The sequence below is a fragment of the Homo sapiens genome, chromosome 11, assembly GCF_000001405.40.
Source record: "Homo sapiens chromosome 11, GRCh38.p14 Primary Assembly".
In the NCBI taxonomy this organism is placed as follows: domain Eukaryota; kingdom Metazoa; phylum Chordata; class Mammalia; order Primates; family Hominidae; genus Homo; species Homo sapiens.
The window spans coordinates 2,153,629-2,178,316 of NC_000011.10; the positions used below are offsets into that span (position 1 = coordinate 2,153,629).

General features: G+C 64.5%; 3 protein-coding genes and 1 non-coding gene across 13 annotated transcripts in view, besides 30 other annotated features; 1 reads left to right on the top strand and 3 right to left on the bottom strand.

Annotated features, from left to right (window-relative positions):
* The window catches only part of INS-IGF2 (INS-IGF2 readthrough), a 32,093-nt gene extending 24,512 nt beyond the window's left edge, over positions 1-7,581 (bottom strand). For both annotated transcript variants that reach the window (NR_003512.4, NM_001042376.3), the window contains exons 1-2: positions 7,540-7,581; positions 7,157-7,360 (exon numbers count right to left, since the gene is read on the bottom strand). Coding sequence is in view for 1 of the 2 variants with exons in the window: in NM_001042376.3 (NP_001035835.1) it covers positions 7,157-7,343 (187 nt within the window). In the remaining variant the exon portion in view is untranslated. The remainder of the gene's footprint in view (positions 1-7,156; positions 7,361-7,539) is intronic.
* Positions 6,151-7,581, bottom strand: INS (insulin). 4 transcript variants are annotated; one of them, NM_000207.3, is made up of 3 exons: positions 7,540-7,581; positions 7,157-7,360; positions 6,151-6,369 (listed from the first exon to the last, which is right to left on the bottom strand). In NM_000207.3, exons 2-3 carry the CDS (start codon positions 7,341-7,343, stop codon positions 6,224-6,226), a joined length of 333 nt encoding a protein of 110 aa, NP_000198.1. In that variant the 5' UTR covers positions 7,344-7,360; positions 7,540-7,581; the 3' UTR covers positions 6,151-6,223. The 4 variants fall into 4 exon arrangements, with proteins under 4 accessions (NP_000198.1, NP_001172026.1, NP_001278826.1 ...); NM_001185097.2 differs by having other exon boundaries at positions 7,514-7,581; NM_001291897.2 differs by having other exon boundaries at positions 7,480-7,581.
* Positions 7,946-7,959: a nucleotide motif, noted in NCBI's record as "nucleotide motif; C-type repeat motif". NCBI's record gives the evidence for it as "COORDINATES:manual assertion [ECO:0000218][PMID:7035959]".
* Positions 7,946-8,343: a repeat instability region, noted in NCBI's record as "repeat instability region; instability of the VNTR region has been observed in some germline and somatic cells". NCBI's record gives the evidence for it as "EXISTENCE:polymerase chain reaction evidence [ECO:0000082][PMID:10749978]".
* Positions 7,960-7,973: a nucleotide motif, noted in NCBI's record as "nucleotide motif; A-type repeat motif". NCBI's record gives the evidence for it as "COORDINATES:manual assertion [ECO:0000218][PMID:7035959]".
* Positions 7,974-7,987: a nucleotide motif, noted in NCBI's record as "nucleotide motif; A-type repeat motif". NCBI's record gives the evidence for it as "COORDINATES:manual assertion [ECO:0000218][PMID:7035959]".
* Positions 7,988-8,001: a nucleotide motif, noted in NCBI's record as "nucleotide motif; E-type repeat motif". NCBI's record gives the evidence for it as "COORDINATES:manual assertion [ECO:0000218][PMID:7035959]".
* Positions 8,002-8,015: a nucleotide motif, noted in NCBI's record as "nucleotide motif; A-type repeat motif". NCBI's record gives the evidence for it as "COORDINATES:manual assertion [ECO:0000218][PMID:7035959]".
* Positions 8,016-8,030: a nucleotide motif, noted in NCBI's record as "nucleotide motif; B-type repeat motif". NCBI's record gives the evidence for it as "COORDINATES:manual assertion [ECO:0000218][PMID:7035959]".
* Positions 8,031-8,044: a nucleotide motif, noted in NCBI's record as "nucleotide motif; A-type repeat motif". NCBI's record gives the evidence for it as "COORDINATES:manual assertion [ECO:0000218][PMID:7035959]".
* Positions 8,045-8,058: a nucleotide motif, noted in NCBI's record as "nucleotide motif; C-type repeat motif". NCBI's record gives the evidence for it as "COORDINATES:manual assertion [ECO:0000218][PMID:7035959]".
* Positions 8,059-8,072: a nucleotide motif, noted in NCBI's record as "nucleotide motif; A-type repeat motif". NCBI's record gives the evidence for it as "COORDINATES:manual assertion [ECO:0000218][PMID:7035959]".
* Positions 8,073-8,086: a nucleotide motif, noted in NCBI's record as "nucleotide motif; A-type repeat motif". NCBI's record gives the evidence for it as "COORDINATES:manual assertion [ECO:0000218][PMID:7035959]".
* Positions 8,087-8,100: a nucleotide motif, noted in NCBI's record as "nucleotide motif; A-type repeat motif". NCBI's record gives the evidence for it as "COORDINATES:manual assertion [ECO:0000218][PMID:7035959]".
* Positions 8,102-8,115: a nucleotide motif, noted in NCBI's record as "nucleotide motif; D-type repeat motif". NCBI's record gives the evidence for it as "COORDINATES:manual assertion [ECO:0000218][PMID:7035959]".
* Positions 8,116-8,129: a nucleotide motif, noted in NCBI's record as "nucleotide motif; C-type repeat motif". NCBI's record gives the evidence for it as "COORDINATES:manual assertion [ECO:0000218][PMID:7035959]".
* Positions 8,130-8,143: a nucleotide motif, noted in NCBI's record as "nucleotide motif; A-type repeat motif". NCBI's record gives the evidence for it as "COORDINATES:manual assertion [ECO:0000218][PMID:7035959]".
* Positions 8,144-8,157: a nucleotide motif, noted in NCBI's record as "nucleotide motif; A-type repeat motif". NCBI's record gives the evidence for it as "COORDINATES:manual assertion [ECO:0000218][PMID:7035959]".
* Positions 8,158-8,171: a nucleotide motif, noted in NCBI's record as "nucleotide motif; A-type repeat motif". NCBI's record gives the evidence for it as "COORDINATES:manual assertion [ECO:0000218][PMID:7035959]".
* Positions 8,172-8,185: a nucleotide motif, noted in NCBI's record as "nucleotide motif; A-type repeat motif". NCBI's record gives the evidence for it as "COORDINATES:manual assertion [ECO:0000218][PMID:7035959]".
* Positions 8,186-8,199: a nucleotide motif, noted in NCBI's record as "nucleotide motif; G-type repeat motif". NCBI's record gives the evidence for it as "COORDINATES:manual assertion [ECO:0000218][PMID:7035959]".
* Positions 8,200-8,213: a nucleotide motif, noted in NCBI's record as "nucleotide motif; C-type repeat motif". NCBI's record gives the evidence for it as "COORDINATES:manual assertion [ECO:0000218][PMID:7035959]".
* Positions 8,214-8,228: a nucleotide motif, noted in NCBI's record as "nucleotide motif; B-type repeat motif". NCBI's record gives the evidence for it as "COORDINATES:manual assertion [ECO:0000218][PMID:7035959]".
* Positions 8,229-8,242: a nucleotide motif, noted in NCBI's record as "nucleotide motif; A-type repeat motif". NCBI's record gives the evidence for it as "COORDINATES:manual assertion [ECO:0000218][PMID:7035959]".
* Positions 8,243-8,256: a nucleotide motif, noted in NCBI's record as "nucleotide motif; A-type repeat motif". NCBI's record gives the evidence for it as "COORDINATES:manual assertion [ECO:0000218][PMID:7035959]".
* Positions 8,257-8,270: a nucleotide motif, noted in NCBI's record as "nucleotide motif; A-type repeat motif". NCBI's record gives the evidence for it as "COORDINATES:manual assertion [ECO:0000218][PMID:7035959]".
* Positions 8,271-8,285: a nucleotide motif, noted in NCBI's record as "nucleotide motif; B-type repeat motif". NCBI's record gives the evidence for it as "COORDINATES:manual assertion [ECO:0000218][PMID:7035959]".
* Positions 8,286-8,299: a nucleotide motif, noted in NCBI's record as "nucleotide motif; C-type repeat motif". NCBI's record gives the evidence for it as "COORDINATES:manual assertion [ECO:0000218][PMID:7035959]".
* Positions 8,300-8,314: a nucleotide motif, noted in NCBI's record as "nucleotide motif; B-type repeat motif". NCBI's record gives the evidence for it as "COORDINATES:manual assertion [ECO:0000218][PMID:7035959]".
* Positions 8,315-8,328: a nucleotide motif, noted in NCBI's record as "nucleotide motif; A-type repeat motif". NCBI's record gives the evidence for it as "COORDINATES:manual assertion [ECO:0000218][PMID:7035959]".
* Positions 8,329-8,343: a nucleotide motif, noted in NCBI's record as "nucleotide motif; B-type repeat motif". NCBI's record gives the evidence for it as "COORDINATES:manual assertion [ECO:0000218][PMID:7035959]".
* On the bottom strand, positions 10,301-18,187 carry TH (tyrosine hydroxylase). Of its 6 annotated transcripts, none has more exons than NM_199293.3 (14): positions 18,069-18,187; positions 17,062-17,142; positions 16,022-16,243; positions 14,863-15,037; positions 14,463-14,551; positions 14,238-14,305; positions 13,807-13,857; positions 13,259-13,404; positions 13,005-13,140; positions 12,852-12,921; positions 12,374-12,430; positions 12,040-12,135; positions 11,604-11,737; positions 10,301-10,764 (listed from the first exon to the last, which is right to left on the bottom strand). In NM_199293.3, exons 1-14 carry the CDS (start codon positions 18,156-18,158, stop codon positions 10,605-10,607), a joined length of 1,575 nt encoding a protein of 524 aa, NP_954987.2. In that variant the 5' UTR covers positions 18,159-18,187; the 3' UTR covers positions 10,301-10,604. The 6 variants fall into 6 exon arrangements, with proteins under 6 accessions (NP_954987.2, NP_954986.2, NP_000351.2 ...); NM_199292.3 differs by having other exon boundaries at positions 18,057-18,187; NM_000360.4 differs by lacking the exon at positions 17,062-17,142.
* Positions 19,435-19,510, top strand: MIR4686 (microRNA 4686). Its single transcript, NR_039834.1, has one exon. It is a non-coding gene; the product is annotated as a microRNA 4686 (primary transcript).
* Positions 23,208-24,054: an enhancer, noted in NCBI's record as "H3K4me1 hESC enhancer chr11:2198066-2198912 (GRCh37/hg19 assembly coordinates)". NCBI's record gives its function as "activates a minimal SCP1, AML or CMV promoter by ChIP-STARR-seq in naive H9 embryonic stem cells {active_cell/tissue: H9 hESC(naive)}" and the evidence as "EXISTENCE:reporter gene assay evidence [ECO:0000049][PMID:30033119]".

Below are 24,688 nucleotides of genomic sequence, written 5' to 3' on the forward strand. Positions count from 1 at the left end.
ATGTGCAGAGGCCTCCGTACCCCAGCCCCGGGCTCCTCCCTCGAGGAGCTGCTCCTCCCTCCAAGGTCCCTTCCACACGCCCTGTGCATGCCCGGTAGCCATGGGGACTGCCACTTCCCACGGAGGACATGTCAGCTTCCCCTTGCCTGTGGTGCCCAGACCTGAACCACACCCACGGGGCTGTCCCCGTGATTTGAAGGCCTGGGCACAGAAAGCAGCTCACGGGTGTACTGAAGCCAGAGGCGCGGCTGCCGAAGGGCCTGCCTCTCACAGACAACACTGAGCTACACCATCCAGCAGCTGAGGCAGGCAGGGCCTTCTTTGGTTCCCTTCTGATGGATGAGGAAACCAAGGCCCAGAGATGCTAAGTGACTTTCCCAAGGCCACACAGCCACTGGCAGCAGAGCCAGGATGTCAGCCCCGCCTCTCAGCTCTCACCCTTCAGCCCCACACTGGCCCAGGTGGACACTCACTGGCCCTGAGGATGCTGAGGGCCCATGACTTCTTGGCACCCACAGATCACAACCTGTTGTAGACCTTGAGGCCACAGCTACCCCTTCTTTGTTGTCGAGACCAGCCCATGCCCAGCCAGGGGGAGGGACCCAGGTGCTAGCTCTGTAAGGGTCCCTGGCAAGGGCAGCATGGGCAGTGCTGGGCTGGGTCTGCGGCCCTGGAAGCAGGAGCCCAGCGTGGCCTCGTGCTCAAGGCTGCAGTGCTGGCAGGGGCCTGGGACACCTCCTCCAGGAAGCCTCCCAGCCTGCTGGCTCCTGCCTCCTCTGCTCTGAGCTCTGGTGCTGCAGCTGGAGCTGGCATGGGGTGCCCCAGCCCTCCCTCTCTCCCTGAGTTCTCAGGCAACTCTTCCCCCTGCCTGGAGCCCAGCCGCCTGCTCCCTCCTTCCCCACAGCTGGGCCTAGGTTGGGAAGTGCTCTCACGGAGCATCTGTCCTGGGCCCGCCCCCCAGGTGGCAAGGGAGGAAGCCCACCTTCCACTCACCCCTGCCCCTGAAAGCTTTTCTTGCACCTTGAAGGTCAGGGCTCGGAGGGCCCCGTGGAAGCAGCCATCGCTGGAGTTGGGGTTTGGGTGCCTCATTGCCTCCACCATGGGGTCCCCAGGATCTTCTCCCAGCCCCGTCCTCACCACCCACCGAGCCACCCATGTGTAACGGGCCCATGCCAGGAACCCCGCGCTCTAGAGAGGATCAGGGGATGCCCAAGGTCCCTCCGAAACTGGGCAGCAGCGGGCCTGGATGTGGGCAGGTGGTGGCCCTGTGGAGGCCGGGCTGGGGTGGGACCGAGCTTTGAAGTGAAGGTGGACTTTGAAGACAGAAGGGTGCGATTTGAGTCCCAGCGTGAGCAGCCGCAAGCTGGCAGGGCCGCGGGGGGCTCTGGCTCTGTTTTCCAAAAACACAGATGGGCTGGGAAGGGGGTCAGAGAGAGGCCTGGGCGGAATGTGGGGCCCGCGGCGCCCCCGAGGTTCTGATGACTCAGCAGCCTGGGCCACACAGGGCCACAGGGAGCAGAGCCTCCCCGAAGCCCACAGGCCTGTGGACCCCCAGGGCTTGGCCTCCTCGAGGCCGGTCTCCATCCCTGGCAAGGGCTGGGCTGGCTCTGCCTAGGGGTCACAGCCACCCGGGTTTAGACATTCTCAGCCCCCCTGGGCGAGGAGAGCCTGGCAGGCACCACCTACGTTACCCTCGGCCTGAGGGACCCCGACTCTGACTTAGTCCTTGATCCATGGGCACCCTGAGATCCCTGCTATCAACCTGCCTTGGAGTGGGGACTGTGGGGTGACCTTTTGGTACAGCCCCAAGCCAGCTTCTAGGGGCAGCCTCGGGGACACTGGGAGGCTTGGAGGCTGCCTCAGCAGTCCCTGGGGTCAGGGAGAGGGTCTCCCAACAGCGGCAGATGGGCAGGAAGTGGGGAGTCCAAGCGAGGTGGGGTGAGGACTGGGGCCACCTGGGAGCAGAGGAGTGAGCTGAGGACGCGGAGGAGCGCGTGGGAGGCCGGCGGGGAGCTTGGCGCCAGCACAGCACGGCTGGGCCGCGAGAGGGACGATGGGGTGCCGCCTCCGGCCGGCCCCACTTTCGAAGGAATCTGCCTTGCTGTTCCTGCGGCCGAGGCCAGAAACAATAGTGGGAGGAAGGGCGGAGGGTGCGGAGGCGGCACCCCAGTGTGTCATCTCCGCGTTCCCAGACCCTGTCTACCCCTGCCCTCAAACATTCTTTCCAGAGTGGACCTCCCTCTCCTCACGGCGCTGGCGGAGGGGAGCGTGGGAACGCACTAACCCTCAGCCGCCTGGACCCCAGCTCCAGGCCTTCGGTGCCCCCAGGTCCCAGCCCCTGAAGCCCCCTCCTCACATAGAAACCAGGACTCGACCTTCTGGCTTGAGTGGCTGAGGGAGGGACCCTCCTGGCCACCGCTGGCCTCCAGCCTCAGTAGCCCCCAGGGGCCCTGGGGACCCTCAGCAAAGGCCACAGCCTGGTCCACCACCGGCCACAGTGGGCTCAGCCACGACGAGGGTGGGACGGAGTCCCCCTGGTCTTCTCACCCTAGCTCTCTGTGATTCTAGGGGCTCGCAGGTGGGGCTCAGAGTCCAGCCAGAGGCTTTCTTGGAATATTAGAGACCCAGAACATTTGTCCCGGCCCTCTGAGAAACCCAGGCTGGTGAGAGGCTGGCCTGAGGCTTGACTTAGGGGCCGAGACTGGACCTGAGCAGGCCGGGGGCCTCTGCAATGCCCCCACCATCATCATCAGACAGCTCCTCTCATTCCTAAGCCCCATGCCCTTCAGAGTGCCCAGCAGGGCCCCCCACAGCCCCCATAGTCCCTGGGAGTGCCTGGCAGGGCCCCCCACAGCCCCCAAGAGTGTCTGGCAGGGCCCCCACAGGCCCCACAGCCCCCGGGAGTGCCCGGCAGGGGCAGGATGCAGCTGCTCAGACCCTGGGTGGTGGCCAGAACCTGGACCCGTGGCTGGTGGCCGGAGTGCATCAAAAGTGAGGCTCTGATGCCATCTGCTGGTCGCACCCGTGAATGGCGGCTCCTGGCCACATTGCTGGGTGTGGAAAGGTGCCCATCCTGGAAACAGCTACCTCACAGCCTGGCTGGAGAGAGACACTGGCCAACGTTCGGCCCAAGTTCTGCCCAGGGCTACCTTTCCCAGAAACTCAGGCTTAAACACTGCCTGTCCTGGCCTCAGTCTCTTCCCTGGGCTGGACCCCTGCTGGGCACCAGGACCCGAAGGGCAGGGGGCTACCCTCAGCACCGCTGAGTCCACACTCATCCCCCCGGGGTCTGCTCAGGCCTGGAGAGTCCTGGAGACGGAGGACAGTAAATATTTGCTGCCGACAGGGGAAGGCAAACACTGCCCCAACGGCCAGGCAAAGGCGCCAGTTATCCATGCCAGGAGCAGACGCAATCTAGGGGGCCAGCCTGGAGGCAGCCACACCGCAGTGTGTCCTGGGTGGGTGGGAGCACGTGCCATGTGCCTGGCTCCAGGCTTCAGTCTCTGCTTAAGGAATGTGGTATAAGAGTTTCCTCCCTGTGCAGCATGTGTGAAGGCAGGACGCCCAGACAGAAGGCTGTGTGCGGGATGGCATGCAGGCTGCCCTCGGTCCTCCAGGAATGGACAGAGGCTTCTAGAGGGGCCAGCAGGTTTGGGGAGACTTGGGGAGCAGCTGCCTTGTGACTGGGGAGCAGTTAGATGGACCCAATGCCAGGGTGACCGCCGGGGCTGGAGGCAGCTGAGTGCCCCTGCCAGCCCGGTGGGCATGTGAAACCGAGGCTCCAAGGCCAGGCAGGTCTCTGGACACTGAAGGGCTGTCTTTTAGCTTCCCAGAAGGGGTGGAGCATGGGCAGCAGCCCAGCAGGCATTGCAGAGCCAAGCTCTGTGGGCCTGGCTCACATGGGGTGACCTGGGGGCTCCGGGAGCATGCACACTCCCCGCCAGGGCATCTGGGGACCGGCACCCAAGGTGGTGCCTGACAGGAGACTGGGTCTGATGCTGCCTCTGCCACCTGGATCACCTTGGCCAACTGCTTCTCATTGGGCCTGGGGGGATGGAGGGGCGATACCTCGCCCTGGCTGCGGTCTCCCGTGTCCACGTTTTCCAGGACACAGTATATGAGGGGTGGGGTCAAGGCGCTGGCGAAGACAGGCTTGGGGGACAGAGTCCTGGGTCTCAACAAGGTGAAAGCTAGCCCCAGCTCTGGCCCAGGGCAGCCGAGGGCACCGCGAACCATGGCTGCATCTCTTTTGGGTGGGCGGCCTTGCCCTCTCCTGAGGCCTCAGGTCAGAGGTCCCCCAGGACAGAAGTCACAGAAAATTTGGCCCCTCAAAAGACACTCCTCAGCCCCCAGCACCAGCCAGTGCCAGCTGCCCTGCAAGTCCTGGAAGGCTGGGGCAGCTCCAGGAGTCCCTGGACACCAAAGGGCTCCTCCTGCTGCCCTCCACTCCAACACACGGTCCCCCACAGAGCACTGACCCTCCCCTCCCAGAAGGGGCCTCTGCCCATCACTCCCTACGGCCTTGTTGGCCATCAGGGTCAGCCAGGGCAACAGCTTGGCCGATGGCTGACTGGTGGGCAGCCTCCCAGCCGGCCCACCGGGCCCCGCTTTGGCCCAGCCCCGCGCGAGCTCACATACCTCAGCTCCAGCAGGGCGCCCCTGTCTCTACCCGTGCGAGTGGGGCCGGCTGGGTGTTCCCATGGACGGCTGCTGCCGATCCCAGCCACCGCCTCCCTCCTCTTCCGGGGCCAGTGTCCGGCCGTCCACCCGCCTGCCCAGCCTTGGCCCCCACTCTGGAGGCGGGGCTAGCTGGGGGCTGTGACATCTCTGGGTGGAGGGGGGCTGATGTGGTCATGGGGAAGGGGTGAGCTCAGAGCTTCAGGAACAGGGCTGCCCCAGTGGCCAGGTCCCCAGCTGGAGGGTGAGCTCCTGGCCTCGAGGCCCAAGCTGGCAGTGGTCTGCAGCCACAGCCCATGCCAGCCCCAGGCCCAGCCATCCCCAGCCCAGCCCTGGGTGGAGCTCTCAGGAAAGGTGCAGATTGGTTTGGCCTGGGTGGCAGGCAGACTGGCCCAGCCACAGGGTAGCTAGGGTCACCCGCTGACCTCCCAGGCCACAGTAGGCCCAGGCAGCCCCTAGGTTCTCGTCTGCCCACTAGGCTGGGTGCCCAGCGGAGCCACCCTGTCCTCAGGGGTGCTGCAGAAGAGGCTCTGTGTCAGGACCCCCAAGGACCTGGAGCCACAACGACCTTGTCACCAGGGCCCGTGGGCCCTTCTGGGTGAGCAGCAGGTCTGTAGCAAAGGAAGCCAGCCAAGCAGCCCTGCTTACTGGGAGGGGGTGGGCTAAGGGGCTGCAGGGGGACCCTGGCCCTGGTCTCTGCCCCTGTGGCCCTGGCGGTTCCCTGCTTCTCCTGGGCTGCAATCCTCAGGGCCTCATGGCCGGGGTGCCCAAGGCATGGGTTCTGAGGCCCTGCCAGGTGCTGCCACGGTCCCTGCACCTGCCCCAGCTCATGGTGCCATCTGACCTCTCCTGCTTCCTCCAAGGCACCAGTGGGTCCCTCAGGTGTCTGGCTGGACCTGGGCTGGCATAAGCTGTGGCTGCAGACGGCTGCCAGCTTGGGCCGCGAGGCCAGGGTGTGTGACTGTCCCGGGGCTGCCCAGAGCTGGGGATAGCGGGTGGCTCTCGGCAGCCTCTCCCCACCTTCCCAGCCCCCCGCCCTGCAGGACCCCCTCCCTCAGCCCAGCCTCCTCCCTCCACAGGGACTCCATCAGAAATAACTCTAAAAATAGAACCTGGGAGGGCTAGGTGGGGGGAAAATTGCTGGAATGTTCTCATTCCCTTTCCTGAACAAGGTCTCTGGGGACTCCAAGAGTCCAGAGCTACTGAACAAGAAGTCACTTCTCAGTGGCCCCACCACCCCTGGCCCCTCAGAGACCCCCGCAGCTCCCATACTGGACCCTGAGCCACAGGGTGGGGGCAGCAGGCAGCCGACAGGCATGGCCGCTTTGGGGAGAGCCACTGCATGCTGGGCCTGGCCGGCGTTGGCACCTGTGGGCACCCAGAGAGCGTGGAGAGAGCTGGGAGGGGCTCACAACAGTGCCGGGAAGTGGGGCTTGGCCCAGGGCCCCCAAGACACACAGACGGCACAGCAGGGCTGGTTCAAGGGCTTTATTCCATCTCTCTCGGTGCAGGAGGCGGCGGGTGTGGGGCTGCCTGCGGGCTGCGTCTAGTTGCAGTAGTTCTCCAGCTGGTAGAGGGAGCAGATGCTGGTACAGCATTGTTCCACAATGCCACGCTTCTGCAGGGACCCCTCCAGGGCCAAGGGCTGCAGGCTGCCTGCACCAGGGCCCCCGCCCAGCTCCACCTGCCCCACTGCCAGGACGTGCCGCGCAGAGCAGGTTCCGGAACAGCGGCGAGGCAGAGGGACACAGGAGGACACAGTCAGGGAGACACAGTGCCCGCCTGCCCGCCAGCCCTAGGTCGCACTCCCACCCATCTCCAGCCGGGCTGGACCCAGGTTAGAGGGAGGGTCACCCACACTGGGTGTGGACCTACAGGCCCCAACGCCCACATGTCCCACCTCCTTCCCCCGCCCCGGGGCAGCGTCACAGTGGGAGCCTGAACAGGTGATCCCAGTACTTCTCCCCAGGGCCTGTCCCCAGCATCTTCCCCATCTCCTGACTATGGAGCTGCCGTGAGGCCTGGCGACAGGGGTCTGGCCCACTCAGGCAGGCAGCCACGCCCTCCTCCGGGCGTGATGGGGTGTTCGCCCAGAGGCAGGCAGCGTGGGGCACCCTGTGACCCCAGGTCACCCAGGACTTTACTTAACAAAACACTTGAATCTGCGGTCATCAAATGAGGGTGGAGAAATGGGCTGCGGGGCATTTGTTTGAGGGGCGAGTGGAGGGAGGAGCGTGCCCACCCTCTGATGTATCTCGGGGCTGCCGAAGCCAACACCGTCCTCAGGCTGAGATTCTGACTGGGCCACAGGGAGCTGGTCACTTTTAGGACGTGACCAAGAGAACTTCTTTTTAAAAAAGTGCACCTGACCCCCTGCTGGGTGGCAGCCTCCTGCCCCCTTCTGCCCATGCTGGGTGGGAGCGCCAGGAGCAGGGGGTGGCTGGGGGCGGCCAGGGGCAGCAATGGGCAGTTGGCTCACCCTGCAGGTCCTCTGCCTCCCGGCGGGTCTTGGGTGTGTAGAAGAAGCCTCGTTCCCCGCACACTAGGTAGAGAGCTTCCACCAGGTGTGAGCCGCACAGGTGTTGGTTCACAAAGGCTGCGGCTGGGTCAGGTCCCCAGAGGGCCAGCAGCGCCAGCAGGGGCAGGAGGCGCATCCACAGGGCCATGGCAGAAGGACAGTGATCTGGGAGACAGGCAGGGCTGAGGCAGGCTGAAGGCCAGGTGCCCTGCCTTGGGGCCCCTGGGCTCACCCCCACATGCTTCACGAGCCCAGCCACGTCCTCCCTGCTGCAGAGCTGGGGCCTGGGGTCCAGCCACCCTGGAATCCTGAGCCCACCTGACGCAAAGGCCCTTGGAACAGACCTGCTTGATGGCCTCTTCTGATGCAGCCTGTCCTGGAGGGCTGAGGGCTGCTGGGCCCCCGCTGGCTTTATAGTCTCAGAGCCCATCTCCCCTACCTCTCAACCCCTGCCGCCTGGCCCATTAGGGCCTGGGGTGGGGGGGTCGGCAGATGGCTGGGGGCTGAGGCTGCAATTTCCGGACCATTTCCCTGGTGCTGGGTCTGTGGGAAGATCTCCTTGGTCGTCAGCACCTCTTCCTCAGGACCAGCGGGTCATTAGAGTCTTAACCAGGGGCCCGGTGGCCAGACCTGTCCCTGCTCACAGCTGGGGGCAAATGTCTCCAGGAGAGCAAAGCCCTCACCTGGGCCACTTTCCACATTAGACCAGGAGAGCTGGAGGCTGCAGGGCGGGGCTCTTTGCGCTGCTGTCCCCAGACCCCTGTCCCCACACCCCTGTCCCCACACCCCTGTCCCCACACCCCTATCCCCACACCCCTGTCCCCAGGACCCCTGTCCCCACACCCCTGTCCCCAGACCCCTGTCCCCACACCCCTGTCCCCACACCCCTGTCCCCACACCCCTGTCCCCCGGACCCCTGTCCCCAGACCCCTGTCCCCACACCCCTGTCCCCACACCCCTGTCCCCACACCCCTGTCCCCACACCCCTGTCCTCAGACCCCTGTCCCCAGACCCCTGTCCCCAGGACCCCTGTCCCCACACCCCTGTCCCCACACCCCTGTCCCCACACCCCTGTCCCCAGGACCCCTGTCCCCAGACCCCTGTCCCCAGGACCCCTGTCCCCACACCCCTGTCCCCAGGACCCCTGTCCCCAGTCCCGGATGGCCCAAGATGCCGCCATGGATGGGCCAAGGTGGTGGGGGTGGGAGAGTGGGAGTGAGGGAGGGGTCCCCTCCCTGCTGGCTGCCTAGTTCCCACCCTGCCTTAGGACAGCAGCCCCAGCTGAGGCCCTCAGCTCCCCAGGGTGGCAGAAGGAGGGCATGACCTGGGGACCTGGGGACAAGCAGCAAGTCCTCAGCAGGCCACTCGGACCTCATCTTCCGTGTGATCTGGGGGTGGCGGCAGGACTCTGGGGGTGGGCAGGTGTGGGAAGCTGTGCACTGGCCCAGCTCCGTCCTGGCCCCCCAGGCACCCTCTCAGCCCCCACTCCTCTTCTGGGAGCCCATCTCCCCTCTCCTGGCCAGGTCCCATGACACCATCACCCCCATAGTGTCATCTGGGCTGAGCCCCTGGGGTACACCCCTCCGGCCCTCCCAGCTCCCCAGAACAGGCACCTGGAGGTCCAGCCTGACCCATGGTGAGGGGGCATGGGCTCCGAGCCCTGCTGCCTGCAGCCCCTACCTGCCTCTTAGCACCAGGGGCAGGATCAGGAGGTCCCAGAAGCAGGAGGATGAGACCATGGGGGCAGGCAGGTTGGAGTATCCTGTGCCCCGGCCCCTCGCATCCCTATGTCCCACCCTGGCCTCAGCCTCGGAACCTCTCGGGGCCGCTCTGCACACACCCAGCCTTTGGCTCTCCTGCCCCGAGCGGGTTTGGTAGTGGGCACCAGCTATCTGCAGGACCCCTCCCTTCCGCCCTTTCCACCCTGAGCCATGCCACAGCAGGACATGCGGTGGCTGCCCCAGGACGCCACAGTGCTCTGAGGCCCGGCAGCTGGAGAGGACATGGGTGCCTCCTTGAGAGGAGTGTGTAGGGAGGGAGGCTGGATGGGGGGAGCCCAGGTAGGAGGGCAGAGCCAGGCGCTGGCAGGGCCGGGGGGAGGCAAGGCAGGCACTTCCCCAGGGCTTCCTGGGGGCTCACAGCCCTTCAGAGACACCCCCAGCTGCAACCTCAGGGGCTGGGCACTAACAAGGTGTGTGAGGAACAGACTGCCAGGCTGGGAAGGACCACCATGCCCAGGAGGGCCTTCGTGGATGAGTAGGAGTTTGCCAGTGTTGTCGGCCGGGGAGCTGAGATCCAGGATCCCAGCAGCGTGTAGTGGGGTGGCTGGAGGGAGGCAGAGACCTTGAAGGCCAGCTGGTGTCCCAGCACCCCCTGCAGGATGCCCTGGGGCTGCTCTCTCCAAGGTAGGAAGGGGACACCCTGGCCGGTCAAGCCTGGAGGGTGTTGGGTGCTCTCTCTGGAGGGCAATGTCCAGGCCCCTCGAGTAAGCCAGGGGCATCTTACAGAGTCTGAAATCCAGCCCCCATCCTGCCTCGCTGGGGAGACAGGCCCAGACCATCTGCCTGGGCACCAGCTCAGCCAGACCCTCCCCATCAGCACACATGCTGGGGGCCACACTGAGGTTCCCCTTGGTTCGCAGGGCCTGCTCCGGGTGGGTGAGGGCATCAGGGCAGCTGTTCCTCCATCCCTGTTTCTCTCAAGGGCTGGGAGCCCTGTCAGCAGGGAGGGTTAGGCCTGCAGGCCCACCTCTGAGACCACCCCCAGCCAGCACAGTTTGTGACCCCTGCTCCCTGCCAGGCCTGAGAGAGGCCCTCCCACTGTCACGTGGCTCCCCACCTTGGGAGGGCACCCCACGGAGATGGGGCAGCTCGGCCAGGGTGCCCGAGCCTCTGGAGCTGCTTGGGGCTCAGAGCTGGGCGGGGCCTCAGGGTGAGCGGGGAAACCAGGCCCGGAGGGGCCAGCTGCCTGGCCAGGGCGGCCAGCCATCTCCCAGAGGAGGAAGGAGGCCAGGGCGAAACCTCTGAGTGAGGCTGGGGTGGGGGTGTGGGAGTCTGAGGATCCCAGGGTCTGTCTCTGTGGCACAGATGTGGGGCCAGGCAGGTGTAGAGACCACAGTTTCTTTTATTGTGACGGTGATTGGGGCAGCAGACAGTGTCAGGGAAGGGCGGAGGGCAGTGCAGCAGCCCCCAGGACCCTGGGAGCCAGGACAGGACCTCACCACAGGCAGCACAACCTCACCACGGGCACACACAGCTGTTGCGCTGAGAAGCAGGTGCAGGGGCAGTGGGAGCCTGGCAGCAGGGAGGGCATGGGGGGCACCCGGGACCCAGCCCCTCACCAGGGCCTGAGCTCCGGGACAGTGCAGGACCAGGGGAGGTTGGGAAGGGCCCTCAGGGACGCCGTGCACCTAGCCAATGGCACTCAGCGCATGGGCAAGGGTGTCCAGCTCATCCTGGACACCCTCCAGGGAGCGCCGCACGGCCTGGGGGCTGTCCAGCACGTCGATGGCCAGCGTGTACGGGTCGAACTTCACGGAGAAGGGGCGCTGGATGCGTGAGGCATAGCTCCTGGGGAGGAGAGCGGCAGAGCCCTCGTCAACTGGCGGGCAGAGTCTGCAGCCTCCAGGAGAGGGGAGGCCAGGGGCCGCGTTTCCACCTTCACAGTGGCTCAGAGCTCCCAGGGCTTTTCTGAGCCAACTGGTCACAGGCGGGACACTGAGGCCTCTTCCAGGGCTGGGTGAGGGGGTTCATGGGGGAGATAGGCTAGGCGCCTTTTCCACTAGAGACTGCCGGGCACCCCATCCCTCCCTGAACCTCCACTGGGCCTCCTCCAGGAAGCTTTCCTTGACCATATCCCTAAGCCTGTGGGTGGAATTCAGCACCCCTGTCCGCTGGACACATAGCCCCTGGCCTCAGTTTCCCCAGTGCATAAGAGGCTGGAGGGAAAATGATGAGACCTTTTATGAGGATGAGGCTAGAGGGCTTTGCTCCCCTCTCCTGACACTCTGGTCACTGCACCAAAGGCCCCCAGCCCTGGGGACCCCACTCCCGCCCTGTCCCCCACCTTGACTCTGTCTATCCCCCTGACTTCTCCCCATCCCAGGGCAGGGGGCCGGGACAGGTTCCACAGGACGTCCTCACAAAGCTCAGGCTCTGTCAGCACCTCCAAGACTGGCCTTGACCCGGCCACCCAGCAGCCCCCAGTCCTGTAGGTCTGCCCCTCCCCAGACGCTGGGGTCCTTCTCACGGATGGTGTCCCTGCTGTGTGGGGGCTGCTGCAACCAGGGGTCGGTTTTCTCATCTGTGACCTGGGCTCACAGGTCCAGCCCTGCTCAAGGCCAGAAGGAAGGCCTGGCTGGCCCAGTTTGGGGGCACCATGGGGGGCTTGCCCTAGCAGCCTAGCCCACCTGAGCTTGTCCTTGGCGTCACTGAAGCTCTCAGACACGAAGTAGACTGACTGGTACGTCTGGTCTTGGTAGGGCTGCACGGCCGCAGCCTCAGGGTCGAAGGCCCGAATCTCAGGCTCCTCAGACAGGCAGTGCTGGCAGGAGGCCAATGGCATCACTGACTCCACTGCACCCAGGTCCCCGAGGGAACTGGGGCACCGTGGCCTGACGCTGGGTGGGTTCCTTGGGTAGAGTCACCCCCATCTCCCCCGCCGGGCCTTCGGAGGCCTGGGATAATGTGGGGTGAGGACTGGGCAGAGACAAGCCTTCTCCCAAACAGAGCCTGAGTCCTGGAGGTCCAGGCCTCAGTTTCCTCCCACTGGGAGCCTGTCCCCTCCCTGCACCGTCCCCCAGCCCTGCCCCTCTGCTGGGGGCTGCAGCAAGGAGAGACTCTCACCAGGAGCTCCCCGTAGGAGGACAGCAGCCCGGCACCATAGGCCTTCACCTCCCCGTTCTGCTTACACAGCCCGAACTCCACCGTGAACCAGTACAGCTGCGGGGAAGCCGGGCAGCATCAGCCCAGAGACAGCTGCCGCCCACCGGGCAGCCCCTGGTCACCCGTGACCAGGATACCACCCCCAGGGAGGCCAGGCCAGGATGCAGGCAGGCCAGGGTGAGGGTCACAATTCGTGGGTGGAAGGAGAGGCCTCAGCCTGGACGGCAAGAGGGTGAGGCCTGGATTCAGACCCCCAAACCCACACCCCAGGCCCTGCAGGGAGGGGTCAACCCACCGTGGACAGCTTCTCAATTTCCTCATCCGAGGCCCCCAGGGACGCCAGGCCAATGTCCTGTGGAGCAGGGAGGATGAAGGATGGGGAGAGGCAGCCCTGGGTCATGCTCGAGGTGGGGGCACCGGGGGTGTCAGCAGCCCCTCCAGGGGTCTCTGGGACACTTCCCTGGCGGCAGAGACCTTCCCTGGCCGCCCAGGATCCGCACCTCCACCGGGCCTCCTCCTCCAGGCAGCCCTCCTTGACCACATTCCTAAGCCCGTGGGCGCCGTTCCCAGGTAGCCGGCAGGTGGCAGCACAGGCCGTGGGAGGCTCCGCTCCAGCCCCGCCCTATGCCGCGCGACCCTCGGGGCGCCGAGCCTCCTTGGCGGGGCCCGGGAGCAGGCAGCACACTTCACCCACCCGCACATCGATCCCCGCCCGCCCCCGGCGCCAAGCCAGCCCCTGGGTGACCCCGGCTCCCTCCGAGGCCGCGGCGTACCTGCGAGAACTGCGCGAAGGTGCGGTCGGCCAGCATGGGCACGTGCCCCAGCAGCTCGTGGCAGCAGTCCCTGCGCGTAGGAGGGAGAAGGGGGCTGAGGGGCCGCCCGTCGCACCCCCCACCCTCGGGCTGGCGGCCAGGGCGCGCACTCACGGCTCAGGGGAGTGCATGGGCGAGGACGCGTGGCGGATATACTGGGTGCACTGGAACACGCGGAAGGCCAGGCTGGCCAGGAAGTCCCGGGCGGACAGCAGGCCGGCCACAGGCCGCAGCTGGAAGCCCGTGCGCTCTGCAAGGGGCCACGCGGGTCACTGCCGAGCCGGGACGGGCTGGAGCCGCGCTGGGGTGGGGCGCTTGGCTGACCATCCCCGGCCCCCCGGCTCTGCGCCCCTCCCGTCTGGGCACACCCTTCAGGAAGCGGGAGACGTCCTCCAGCTGGGGGATATTGTCTTCCCGGTAGCCGCTGAAGCGCTCCAGCAAAGCAAAGGCCTCCAGGTGCTCCCCGCAGGCGTGCGTGGCGTAGAGGCCCTTCAGCGTGGTGTAGACCTCCTTCCTGCGGGCAGCCAGGCTCAGGGCCCTCTAATGCCCCACCCCAGTGCCCGAAACCCCCCTCCTGAACTGTGGGTGCCTCTGCCTGCCTGAGCCCCTACCAACGCAGGCCTCTTGGGGACCCCTGAAGACCCAGGCCCCCGGGAGGGGCTTTTGCTGGTGGCTTTAGGGAATCCCAGGGGATAGGGGGCCATGAGGGGCGGTCCCTCAGCACACTGGGGATGGCCCGACAGGATGGGTAGCCTCTTCCTCCCAACCCAACATTCTGAGCCCTGCAAGTCCCTCTTCTTCCCGGCCTTAGTCTCTCCTGTTGTGCCAAGGTCCCTGGAGGCGGCCCTCACACGCCAGGATTCCAGGAGGCATCCCCCGGGCTCCTCCCCAGCCCCTAGCTGCACGGAGGTCTCACCAGGTGGCAATCTCCTCGGCGGTGTACTCCACACGGGGAATCGGGTCGCCGCTGGGGAGGGGGCCAGTGGTCAGCAGGTCCCCTCGGGGAGTGAGAAGGGCAGGAGGGAGGGAGGGAGCTTCACTGGGCACAGGTCCACACCCGCCTAGTGCAGCGAGGCCTTTGGGTTGGAGGATGGACAGGAGGGTGCACCCCAGCTGACTGTGCCGTGAGCCGGCTATGTGGCCTCGGCAGGTTGCTCTAGCCCCCCTGGGCCTCAGTTTCCCCACTGGGATTTGGGGACATGGAAAGCCCTGGAGCAGAGCTGCCTGGCAGGAGGCACTGATGCTGGTGACAAGATGGGTCCTCCCCTTTGTCCTTCCCTCCCACCCCCCAGGTCCAGCGTCAGCCTGCAGGACGGAGTCTGGGTCCCGAGCGCAGGGGCCCCTCACTGCCTGTACTGGAAGGCGATCTCAGCAATCAGCTTCCTGCGCTGGCGGTACACCTGGTCCGAGAAGCCCTGAGGGCAGAGGGGATGCACGGGTCAGGAGGCTGTGCTGGGGTGGGGGCACAGGCCACGGAGGCTCCTGGAGCCGACAGACTCCTGTCCAGGGTTGGGCTAAGGGTAGGGGATGTGATCAGGGGCAGGAGGCCTGAGTGAGGGGCGCACCACTCACCGGGTGGTCCAAGTCCAGGTCAGGGTCGAACTTGGTGACCAGGTGATGACACTTGTCCAGCTCTGACACTTTTCTTGGGAACCAGGGGACTTTATGGGTGATGGAGGAAGAGATCTTGGTGAGCTCGGAGCCGTGGGGCTGTGTCACCCACCTTGAAGCAGCCTCCCCTACAAGACTTCCGGGGGGCAGAGGCAGCCGGGGCTGTGAGAGCTGCGGGGGGATCCTGGAGTGGCCCCAGGCCCGGACACGGATGTGTAGCAAAACGGGGTGCGGAGTGGAGCCCGCAGAGAGGGAACCAGGCCACCACCACGTGGTCACTGTAGGGTCCCCCTGCAGGAGCCCCTGCACCCCAGCCTCTCAAGGTCATTTGGTGGCCCTCAAGGACAGAAAACCGCCTCACCCTTGGGCCCCGCGGGGCTGCGCACGTCCTCTGACACCTGGCGCACACCACTGAGCAGGGCGGCCAGGTCCCCTCGGCGCACCTCGAGGCGCACGAAGTACTCCAGGTGGGGGCCCCCAGCTCGCGGCCTCTGGGCGGGCCGGGTCTCTAGATGGTGGATTTTGGCTTCAAACGTCTTAGGGAGCAAAAGCAGGAAGAGAGAGAGAAGGAGAAAGAGACAGAGATGGAGAGAGAGGGTGGGGTGGGCGGGGAGGAGGCACATCTGGCTGGCTGGCCAGGCCCTGCCCTTGACTTTTGTGCTAGCAGCACACAGATCCCGTTCTTCCAGGCTCAGGTCAGCTGTCGGCCACCAGGCCAGGGTTTGCCACTGGCAAGTTGGATTTTGTGTTACGTGCCTAACCAGGAGTTGTCACCGCTTGAGGCTTAACCTGGTTCTGGGCGGCTCGGTGTGTGTGTCCCAAGGCCATGCCACACAGTCCGGCTCCTCAGCCACTGGTCAGAAGGTGCCCCCAACCCTGGTGGCCTCATCCAGGTTTGTAGGATGGGCCCTGAGTCTCACTGGCCCCTGAGCGTCCAGGACACTGGCCAGAAGGGTCCGCTCCACCCCCACCTCCTGTTGCCTAGCAACAAGGGCGGTGGGTCGCAGTGGCCCTCGGGCCACAAAACTGGCTCTGGGAGCTGGGGGGCGGGGAGTCTGGCTTTAATGTCATTTGGGAGCTTCTTCCGGGAGCTGGGTCACCTGCCTCCCGGGGCACAGTGGGGCCGGAGTGACTAATGCAATCAGTGGTCACCTGAGCCACTGTGCTGGGTGGGTGGGAGAGGGCACACTGCCCTGCCCCTGCCTCTTGTGCTGCCCTGCTGGGAGCCCCCCACGTGGGAAATGGTGGGTGAGGGGGATCCAGGGGATGGGCAAGGCAAGAGGCACAGTGGGGCTTGGTAGCCTCAGCCCTAGGGGTGGGCTCAGGATCCCTCAAAAACACGGGGGTGTGGCTAGATGCCATGGGGGCTGAGCTGAGGCCTGAGACTCCCCTGCTGCATCCTGTGCCGGCCTCGGGGGCCTGGGCAGCTGCACCTCTGCTATAGAGGGGTCAGGAACTCAGCCCACACAGCCCCACCCACAGGTGAACTTGCCCCAGGGACACGAAGGCCACCAGCTCACCTCAAACACCTTCACAGCTCGGGACAGCGCCGAGGGCTTGGTGGCCCTCGGGGAGAAGAGCAGGTTTAGCACGGCCTTCCCCTCCTTCTCCTCAAAGGCCACAGCCTCCAGGGGGTCCCCGGGCTCCGAGGGGACTGCAGCGGCCGCTGCTGCCACCGCCGCCTCCCGCTCCTTGCGGGCGTCCTCGATGAGGCTCTGCCTGCGCCCAATGAACCGCGGGGACTGTGGGGACAAGGGGCACCCATGCCTCCTCCACCTGCTGAGACCCGGGGACCTCCACCCACAGCTGGTCCCACAGTCGGGCAGCGCTGATGGCACACAGAGGCAGGGGATGAGAGCACGTTTTTGAGCGCCTACTGTGTGCCTGCTGGGGCAGATGCTAGCCGAGGTGCCTGCGGGCATTGCACGCCCTTCCCGATGGGGGCAGCCCAGTCAGAAGCAGTGGTGGTGGGGGAGGAGTGGGGGCTGGGAAGGTGCTCGCCTGCTCCCCACTCTGTGGCGAGCAGACAGACAGAGACGCTGTGTCACTCATCCCCAGGCCAGGCGCTAACTGGATTAGTGATGGGAAGAGGGCGATGTCTTGATGGACAGTGGCATCGGCTGCCGGGGAGGGAACGGCAGCTCAGGAAGGAGCTGCCCCCACAGGGCCCCAGTGAACAACCCCCCTACCCTCCTGGCTGCCGCACAGGGGACCCTTTCTCACACTCCCATCAGGACACCTGTCCTCGGGCCCTGCCCCTCTGTGCCACCCCGCAGGCGCCCGCTCCTGGCTGCCTTGTCATCCCTCCACCCTTTGTCATAGCTCTGGGCGCAGGTGTCTCTCCCTGGGCTCAGCGCCTCTGACCCCTCGATCCCAGAGCCGTCCCAGGCCTGGACAGAGGGGGACTTGGCAGACACCTGGGGCTCATCCCTTGGAGCTGAACTCCCAAGAAGGCTCTGGGCCCCTTGTAAGAGAAGAATCAGCTTCATCCTGAGCTTCCAGGGTTGTGGAACATGAAGGGGAGCAGCAGAAGCCCCTCCCAGAGTCCCCTCTTACTTACCCTTGGGGTGGGGGTGTAGGATGCAGCTGGGGCTGCAGTTCCAGGCCACGGAGAGCCTGTGAGGCTGGGCCCCGGGGCGCCCTGGGGAGGGGATGCCTGATGGGGAGCCTGGTGGGGGAGGGTAGGGGAGGGCGGGGGAGGACGGGGGAGGGCGCCCTGTGTCCCTGAGAAGGTACCTGGAAATGACACTGCTACAACTCACACCACATTTCAATCAAGGTCCATAAATAAAAACCCATTTTAAATGTGCCAGGGAGCCCAAGGTTCTGAGTGCCCAAGGAGGCACCGAAGACCCCTCCTGTGGGCTGAAAAGCTCCCGATTATCCAGCCTGGCCCACACAGTCCCCTGTACACAGGGCTTCCGAGTGCAGGTCACAGGGAACACAGACTCCATGGTGAATGAATGAATGAATGAATGAATGAATGAGGGAAATAAGGGAGGAACAGGCCAATGGGAATCACCCCAGAGCCCAGATACCCTTTGAATTTTGCCCCCTATTTGCCCAGGACCCCCCACCATGAGCTGCTGCTAGAGCCTGGGAAGGGCCTTGGGGCTGCCTCCCCAAGCAGGCAGGCTGGTTGGGGTGCTGACTAGGGCAGCTGGGGCAGAGGGAGGCAGGGGCAGGTGGGAGTAGGGTGGGGGCTGGGTGCAGCAGCCGGGGACCTCTGGCCATCTTGGATTTTTTGGATGGATTTGTTTCCACATTCCGATCGTTAAGATTCAAGATGAAACAAGACACAGAGACCCACACGACCCCCGAGAGAGGTCGGCCTAAGAGGGGCACACACAGGGACAGGCATCACCTCACCCTCCCCCAACAGGGACTCAAACACCAGGCACAGGGGATGCCGCTGTGCCCAGGCCTCCACATCCACGCCGCGTCCCAGGGGTTTGCATGGACCCTGAGCCTGGGGCTGCCAGCCAGGCTGGGGAGTAGCAGAGGCAGCTGGCACCAGCCCTGGGCTCCGGTCCACTGCGGCCGCCGGGCACCTACCTGCCCTCTTACCATGATGGCCTCTGCCTGCTTGGCGTCCAGCTCAGACACGGCCCTGCGGAAGCCCTTGGCCTGTGGCGTGGTGGCGTCGGGGGTGGGCATGGCTCAGTGTGGAGGTCCGGGCTCCGTCTCCACAGCCCTGGCCCAGCAGCCTCTTATAAGCTGAGCTGACGTCAAAGCCCCCTCTGGGTCCCCCACCTTCCCCTCCTTACATCCCCCACCCCTGCCTGCTGTGCCTGATGGAGGCGGGGGTGGGTGAGGAAGGAGGGAGGCGCAGGAGAAAGGGCTCGTCCGTGGAATCTAATTGCCTTCACTCCCCAGCCCTGTCTGAATCATCCTCAGCCCGCGGGCTTGCGGGGACCAGGGGCTCGTGCTCTGCGGGGGGCTGAGACAGCCAGGGTCCCCTTGGCCCCACAGCCCTCAAGAGAGCACACAGGGAGGGGCTTTCTGGCAGCCCAGGGGCACACTTTTAATGAACACCAGAACCTCGTGGCAGACCGACCCAGAAAGCCCCAAGACGGGGAATCCAGCCTCCAGCCTCAGATGTCAGGAGGCAATTTGTTTGCTTCTCCAGAAGATTCCAGGCCGTGTGTCTCATAGACGTGGTTCCTAGGAGTGCCATCTGCCCACAGCCCCCGGGCCCTGCAGGTGTGGCCCTTGCAGCGGCTTCCCAAGCTCGCCCCGTGGGGTCCAGAATGTCCCAGGAGGGCCCACCTGTCCAGTGTGGAGGACCCTGGGAGGCTGAAGAAGACATCTCTAAGGAGACGCCACGCGTTTCCAAATGGCTGCCACCTCCTGCATCACAGTCCCCACCAGGGTTGCCAGGGCGACCAGGGCCAGGGACGGCTTCCACCCACCCCACTCAGCCCCTCTATGGCCCACTGCTAGCTCCTGGCTTCCCTCGGGGTCCTGTGGCCCCTTCTTTAAAGAGCACGCACGTCCCTCAGTGCTGAGGGCCCTGATGCCTTCCCCTTGGAGAGACCTTTGCAGTTTCTCCTCTACCCCACCAGGCCCCGGGTTGAGGGTGACCCTGGGGTGACCTGAGAACTCCCTTGAGGACAACCCCAGCCTAGAGCCTCCCCCAAGTTCCATGTCCGCCCCGCAGGCACCCGCATCCAGCCCACGCCCACTGGCACCTCCTGCTCCCAGCCGCTGCCCCACCCAGGGAGAGTGATGCCCCTGCCCAGGGTGGCTTCTGGCCCTTCTGGTGGAAGGGGAGGCCTCCCCATCCCTCTGGGGTCAGCAGAGATGGCCAGAGCCTGCCTTGACAATGCTGGACTGTACAGAGGGAAGGACGTGGCCCCAGAGTGCATGGCCTGCGGCTGAACGCTGCCACCGCTGTCCCTCCTGGAGAAGAACCGTTTCCGACAGGGCTTGGGGCTTCCTGTATCTGCTGGGCTTTCTGGTGTTGGCAGCCCAAGATGACACCCTGGGCCCAGCAGGAGCCAGAAGCCCTAGACGCTCCCTGACTTCTCGAAGGCCTACCCCGGCTGGTCACTGTGGCAGCCAGAGCTGGCATCTCTCAGGGCCCACTCTGCTCCTGTCAGCTGTGGGACTCCCCGCTCCCCGTTCTCTCTTCAACAATAGCCCCTGGGACCTTTCCTAAAACTGCTTCAGCCATGGCATCCCTGTCCCACACCCCTCCGTGGCTCCTCGCTGCCCTCTGCAGGCAGGCTGAGTGCTCAGTCAAAGCAAAGGGAAGACCCCCCAACCCTTCCCACTTCCTGGCCCAGAAGGATTTGGGGCTCCGTGATCCCCGGTTTGCAGTGTCATTCCTCACCCACCTCTTATCCGGGTGAACTCCTATGCATCCCACAAAACCCAGTTCCGTCGCTGCTCACTCTGCAATGCCTGCCCTTTCTTGCCACGATATTAATGCCCCTCCCTTGCGCTCCTCTGGAACATCCCTGGGGGCAGGGAAGCCTACCGCTCGGCCCCTGCTGTCTCTCAGCACCCAGTGCAGACCCTGTCCTCTCTCGGAGATGCTATGCCCCTCCACAGTGTTCCCCAAAGGCCTCCACCTCCTGTGGGTCCTGCCCACAGTAGGTCTGGGTGCCTGCTCAGAAGGGCGTTGGAGGGATTTGCCTCCAAGACCTCAGCCTGAAGGCTCAGCCTCTGGCCTCGCCCTGCGGCCCGTGAGCTTCTGTCACCCAGGGCTGAGGCCCACCCACCTGAGTCCCTGGTGATGGCCCTTGGGTGGCCCAGCCTCCATGCCCAGTGTCCAGGCCTGGTGAAGCTCTGCATGGCTCCCCCGAGCTCCCCTCAAGGTCCCCAGAAAGAGTCTCATTTGCCTCCCCCAGGGTCGGCTGCTGAGGATCCCTCGGTGAGGCAGCTCCAGGCCCCCCAGCACCCCGCCCCAGCTCTGCCCAGGGCGGCCCCAGTGCTCAGGTGCCCAGGCCAGGAGGAGAGACATGCCTGATGAACACCACGCCGGAGGCTCATGGCCCACACTGCCGGATGTGGATTTAACCTTTCAGCAAATGTCTTCCACTGATACAAATATTGCTTTTTAATTCGGTTTCCTGCCGGGCCAGTTGTGCTTTCATGGAAGCCCGATGGGAACTAAGCTTACTAGACTCTTCCTTGGGGCCAGGCTCTCTGGAGGCAGGAGCCCAGGCCAGGTGCTGAGGCTGGGGAGGCCCCTGGACCCCTGTGGAGGTGAGTGCTGCCCTCAGGTGCCTGCACCTGCCCTGCCTCCAGCCTCCCGCCCCAATCAGGCAGCATCCATCCCTGCCTATCCATTCCTGGGAAGCCTGTCCCACACGCCAGCCCCTTCAGGGCCGGGGAACCATGCTGTACCCCAGATCCAAGGCCCCTGTTGGCACAGAGGTGCCCCCGACTCCAGTCCTGGCCCTGGCCCCGCCCTCCTTTGTGCCGTGCCCCTCTCCGATTCCAGATGGTGAGGGTATCCATGGAGGCCCCAAAAGTCTACCCTGGCCAGCCTCCCCGCTCCCAGCCCGAGGGTACCTCTCCAGTCTGGACCACCCATGATTGAGCCATGCCCCGTGTCACCCACCTGCCTCTGGCCCTCTCCAGAGATGTCCACAAACACCAGGAAGGCTCCACTCCAGCGCCCACGGGACGAGGCCTCTCCACGCTGGGCACAGGCCTGGAGGGAGCACACGGCTGGCCCCTGGTCTTGGTAGAGCTCAGTGCTGGGTCAGCCTGCGGCATCCACGTTCGGGCAGCTGAGGTGTTCACAGACCCATTCTGCAGATGCGAGGACTGAGGTTCTGAGGTGCAACTTCTCAGGGGTCATGCAGTGAGTCTCCAGCCCAGGTTTCCCAACTCCCAAGACACTGGTCTTTCCTTTTTTTCTTTTTTTTTGAGACCGAGTCTCGCTCTGTCACCCAGGCTGGAGTGCAATGGCGCGATCTCGGCTCACTGCAAGCTCCGCCTCCCCGGTTCACGCCATTCTCCTGCCTCAGCCTCCCAAGTAGCTGGGACTACAGGCGCCCACCACCACGCCCAGCTAACTTTTTGTATTTTTAGTGGAGACGGGGTTTCACTGTGTTAGCCAGGATGGTCTCGATCTCCTGACTTCGTGATCCGCCCACCTCGGCCTCCCAAAGTGCTGGGATTACAGGCGTGAGCCACTGCGCCCGGCCTGACACTGGTCTTTCAAAGATCCGGTGGCATCCATCCCCTGGCACTGTGGGGCTCAGGAACCTAGGCCACAGGGAACAAATCAGACAGGCTGCTGTGACCAGCGTCCCATCTACAGAGACCCCAGAGGGAAGGGCAGAGCTGGGACAGGGTTCTCTGGAGGCCGAGGTCACGCCCCAAGAGACCCCTGGGGCCAGCATACTGGCCCCTGGGAAGGAGAAGGGCTGGAGCGGAGCCCCACCAGGGGGGGCTATGAGGTGGGGCCAGGAGTGAGGGCCGACCCAGGCCAGATCAGAGACAAAACAGGTGACCAGGGGAGTGGGGGCCCCGCAGAGGTCTGAGGAGCCCTTGCTGTCCCCTCCATTGCACCAGGCTCCACCTTCCTGCACGGAGCCCTCTGGGCTTCCCTCCATACCCCACCACCCTCCACCACTTCCGCCGTCCCTGTGGTTACAGCCCCTGCCACCATGGCCGTAAGGAATGCTGAGCCAGCTCCACAATGGAGCGTGTTCTCTCTCAACAGCCTCTCAGCCCGAGGCTTAATCACCCAGATTAATCACCCAGCACGTCTGTGCCCTGGGACTGGTGCCCACTCCCCGCGTGGGGCAGGGTCAGAGTGCTGACTTCGACCTGGCTGTGAGGCTGCTCCGCCCACAGGGCGAGTCTCTGAGGCCACCAGGCCTGCTCCCCAGCACCAGCCTTGCCCACCACGGGCCCTTCCCAAATCCAGGCCTGCTGGAGGAGCCCAGCCATGTGCTGGGGAGGAGCCCAGGAGGTGTTCTGGGTCCCCTGGCTGACAGGCATCGCCCTGTGGCTCTGCAGGGTCTAGCCATGGCCTGGCTGTGGTGTGCACAGGGCTCAGGTGGCCCTGTGATCTTTGAGAGCCAGCATGGTGTCCTCTTGCAAGTGCCTAGGCAAATGCAGGCATCTGTGTGAGGCACACACACATGCACACATGGGGCACACAAGCACACACACAACACTCCATGCACGTGTGAGCACCCATGACACAGGTACACACCACAGGTACAAGCAGCATCCACACACTGCACATGCAAGCACACTCACACATGACGTGTACATAGCACACATACAGGCACACTCAGACATAACACATGTGTGCACCACACACATGCACACACAGATGCATATGACACATGCATGCATATATGTACAAGCACACTTACATGGCACCTGTACACACCACACATACAAGTGTACTCATGTACACGATACACATACGATGCACTCGTAATGACCCACGGACACACCAGATGCACACACGGATGTGCATGCACTACACAGGCAAACACACTCATATATGACACAGTACACACAACATATACAAGTGTGCTCATACATGACACAGGCACACACCACACACGAGCACACACTACACATGTGCGTGCATGCATGACACGTGTACACATCACATGCACACACACAGGCGATACAGGTGCACACGTGTACATGCACACACACACACACATGCTGGAGCACACACTGCCCCCCCGCCCATGTCTACTCCGCAGTTCTCTTTATAGCCCGGGGTCCCCAGGGTCCCCAGAGATGCCCCCTCTAGAGCCTGGCTCCCAGGGACACCGGCCTGCAGCCTCCCAGACCCCCACTCACATTTGGGAGACAGTGGGGGACCTCCTGAGGATTTGGGGTGTCATGCCACCCTGGGCTGTCCCTCAGTTCCCATTGTCCCAAGAAGGCAGGGGACAGTGAGTCCTGCGTCCTCCCCTCACGCCATCTTGCCCCGCCTGGGGTGCAGGGCCTTTCTCTGCCGTGTAAGGAAGCAGCTCCCCTCCATCCCCCAAGCTGGAAGAACCAAGACGCCCCAACACAGGACAGAATCCGCCGTCCCTGTCAGACCCAAATGCCAGAGCAATTAGCCCTAATGAGGCCATCAGATGGAGCCCCACAGCAGGGCGGGCGGAGCGCATGGACGAGGTGGGCCCCGGAACAGCCGCCCTGCCAGTCGATCGGATGCACTTAGGGATAATTGGGTGTTTGGAAGTCAGGCCCAGAGCGAGGCCGGCAGAGCAGGCACCACGCCTCCTTCGGGCTCTGAGCCTGTGGGCTGCCTCTCCTCCTCCACACCCTGGACAGGCAGCCGGACCCTCCCTGTCCCCCACAGACGGCTCCCTGCCCCCCTTCTGCTACTGCTGCTGCCCACCTGGGGCTCCACTTTCCCTTCCCCACCAAATCCTGCCAGGCCCTCAGGCCCGGGCTGCCCTCCTCCTCCAGGCAGTCCCCCAGTGGCCTCCTCTCTGAGTCCCTCCAGCCTGGACAGCCAGTGCTGTCCTTCCATCCTTGTTGCCTGTAGGGACTGCCTCAGTGTTGAGACCCACCATGTAGGGGGCCGAAAAGAGGGTCCTGACTCAGCCCCTTGGGCCCTGGACTCAGTTTTGCCATCCACACAGTGGGGGGCATCAGGGATTAGCAGTTGCAGGCCCTTGTGGGAGGAGGGGTCAGCCTTGAGCCCCTTGTGTGTGTGGGACCCCCAAAGGCCCACAGACACAGACCAGCGAAAACTCCAGGCCAAGCTCTGGTGCGTGGGTTCCCAAGCCTGGCTGCACACACAACCAGGGTGCTCTCGGCAATTCCAGCATCTCCATACCCCTGGAGCCTCTTGTCCTGGTGTGGGCTTCCTGGTGATGTGGGCCAGCCAGGTATGGGTGGAACCGTCCTACTCCCCCTCCAGCCCTAAGCCTGAGCCAGCCTGAGTCTGGCATGGAGCTCCTGGAGCCAGGTGAGCAGTGAGGGGTGCTTCCAGGGAAGGGGATCCAGTGGCCAGAGGGTCCTGTGGGACCGAGTCGGGCAGAGGTGGAGGCAGAGGGAGGGAAAGGGTACGAAGGGGGCAGGTTACAGAGCCAAGCAAGAGAAGTCACCGTGGTCCCTGGCAGCCAGGCATTCAGCTGGAAGGAAGGGCATCCGGGTGGGCGGGGTGCGCATCTCCTACCCACAGGGCATCTCCCCAGCTCCCAGCGCCCCTCACTGCTCACCTGGCTCCAGGAGCT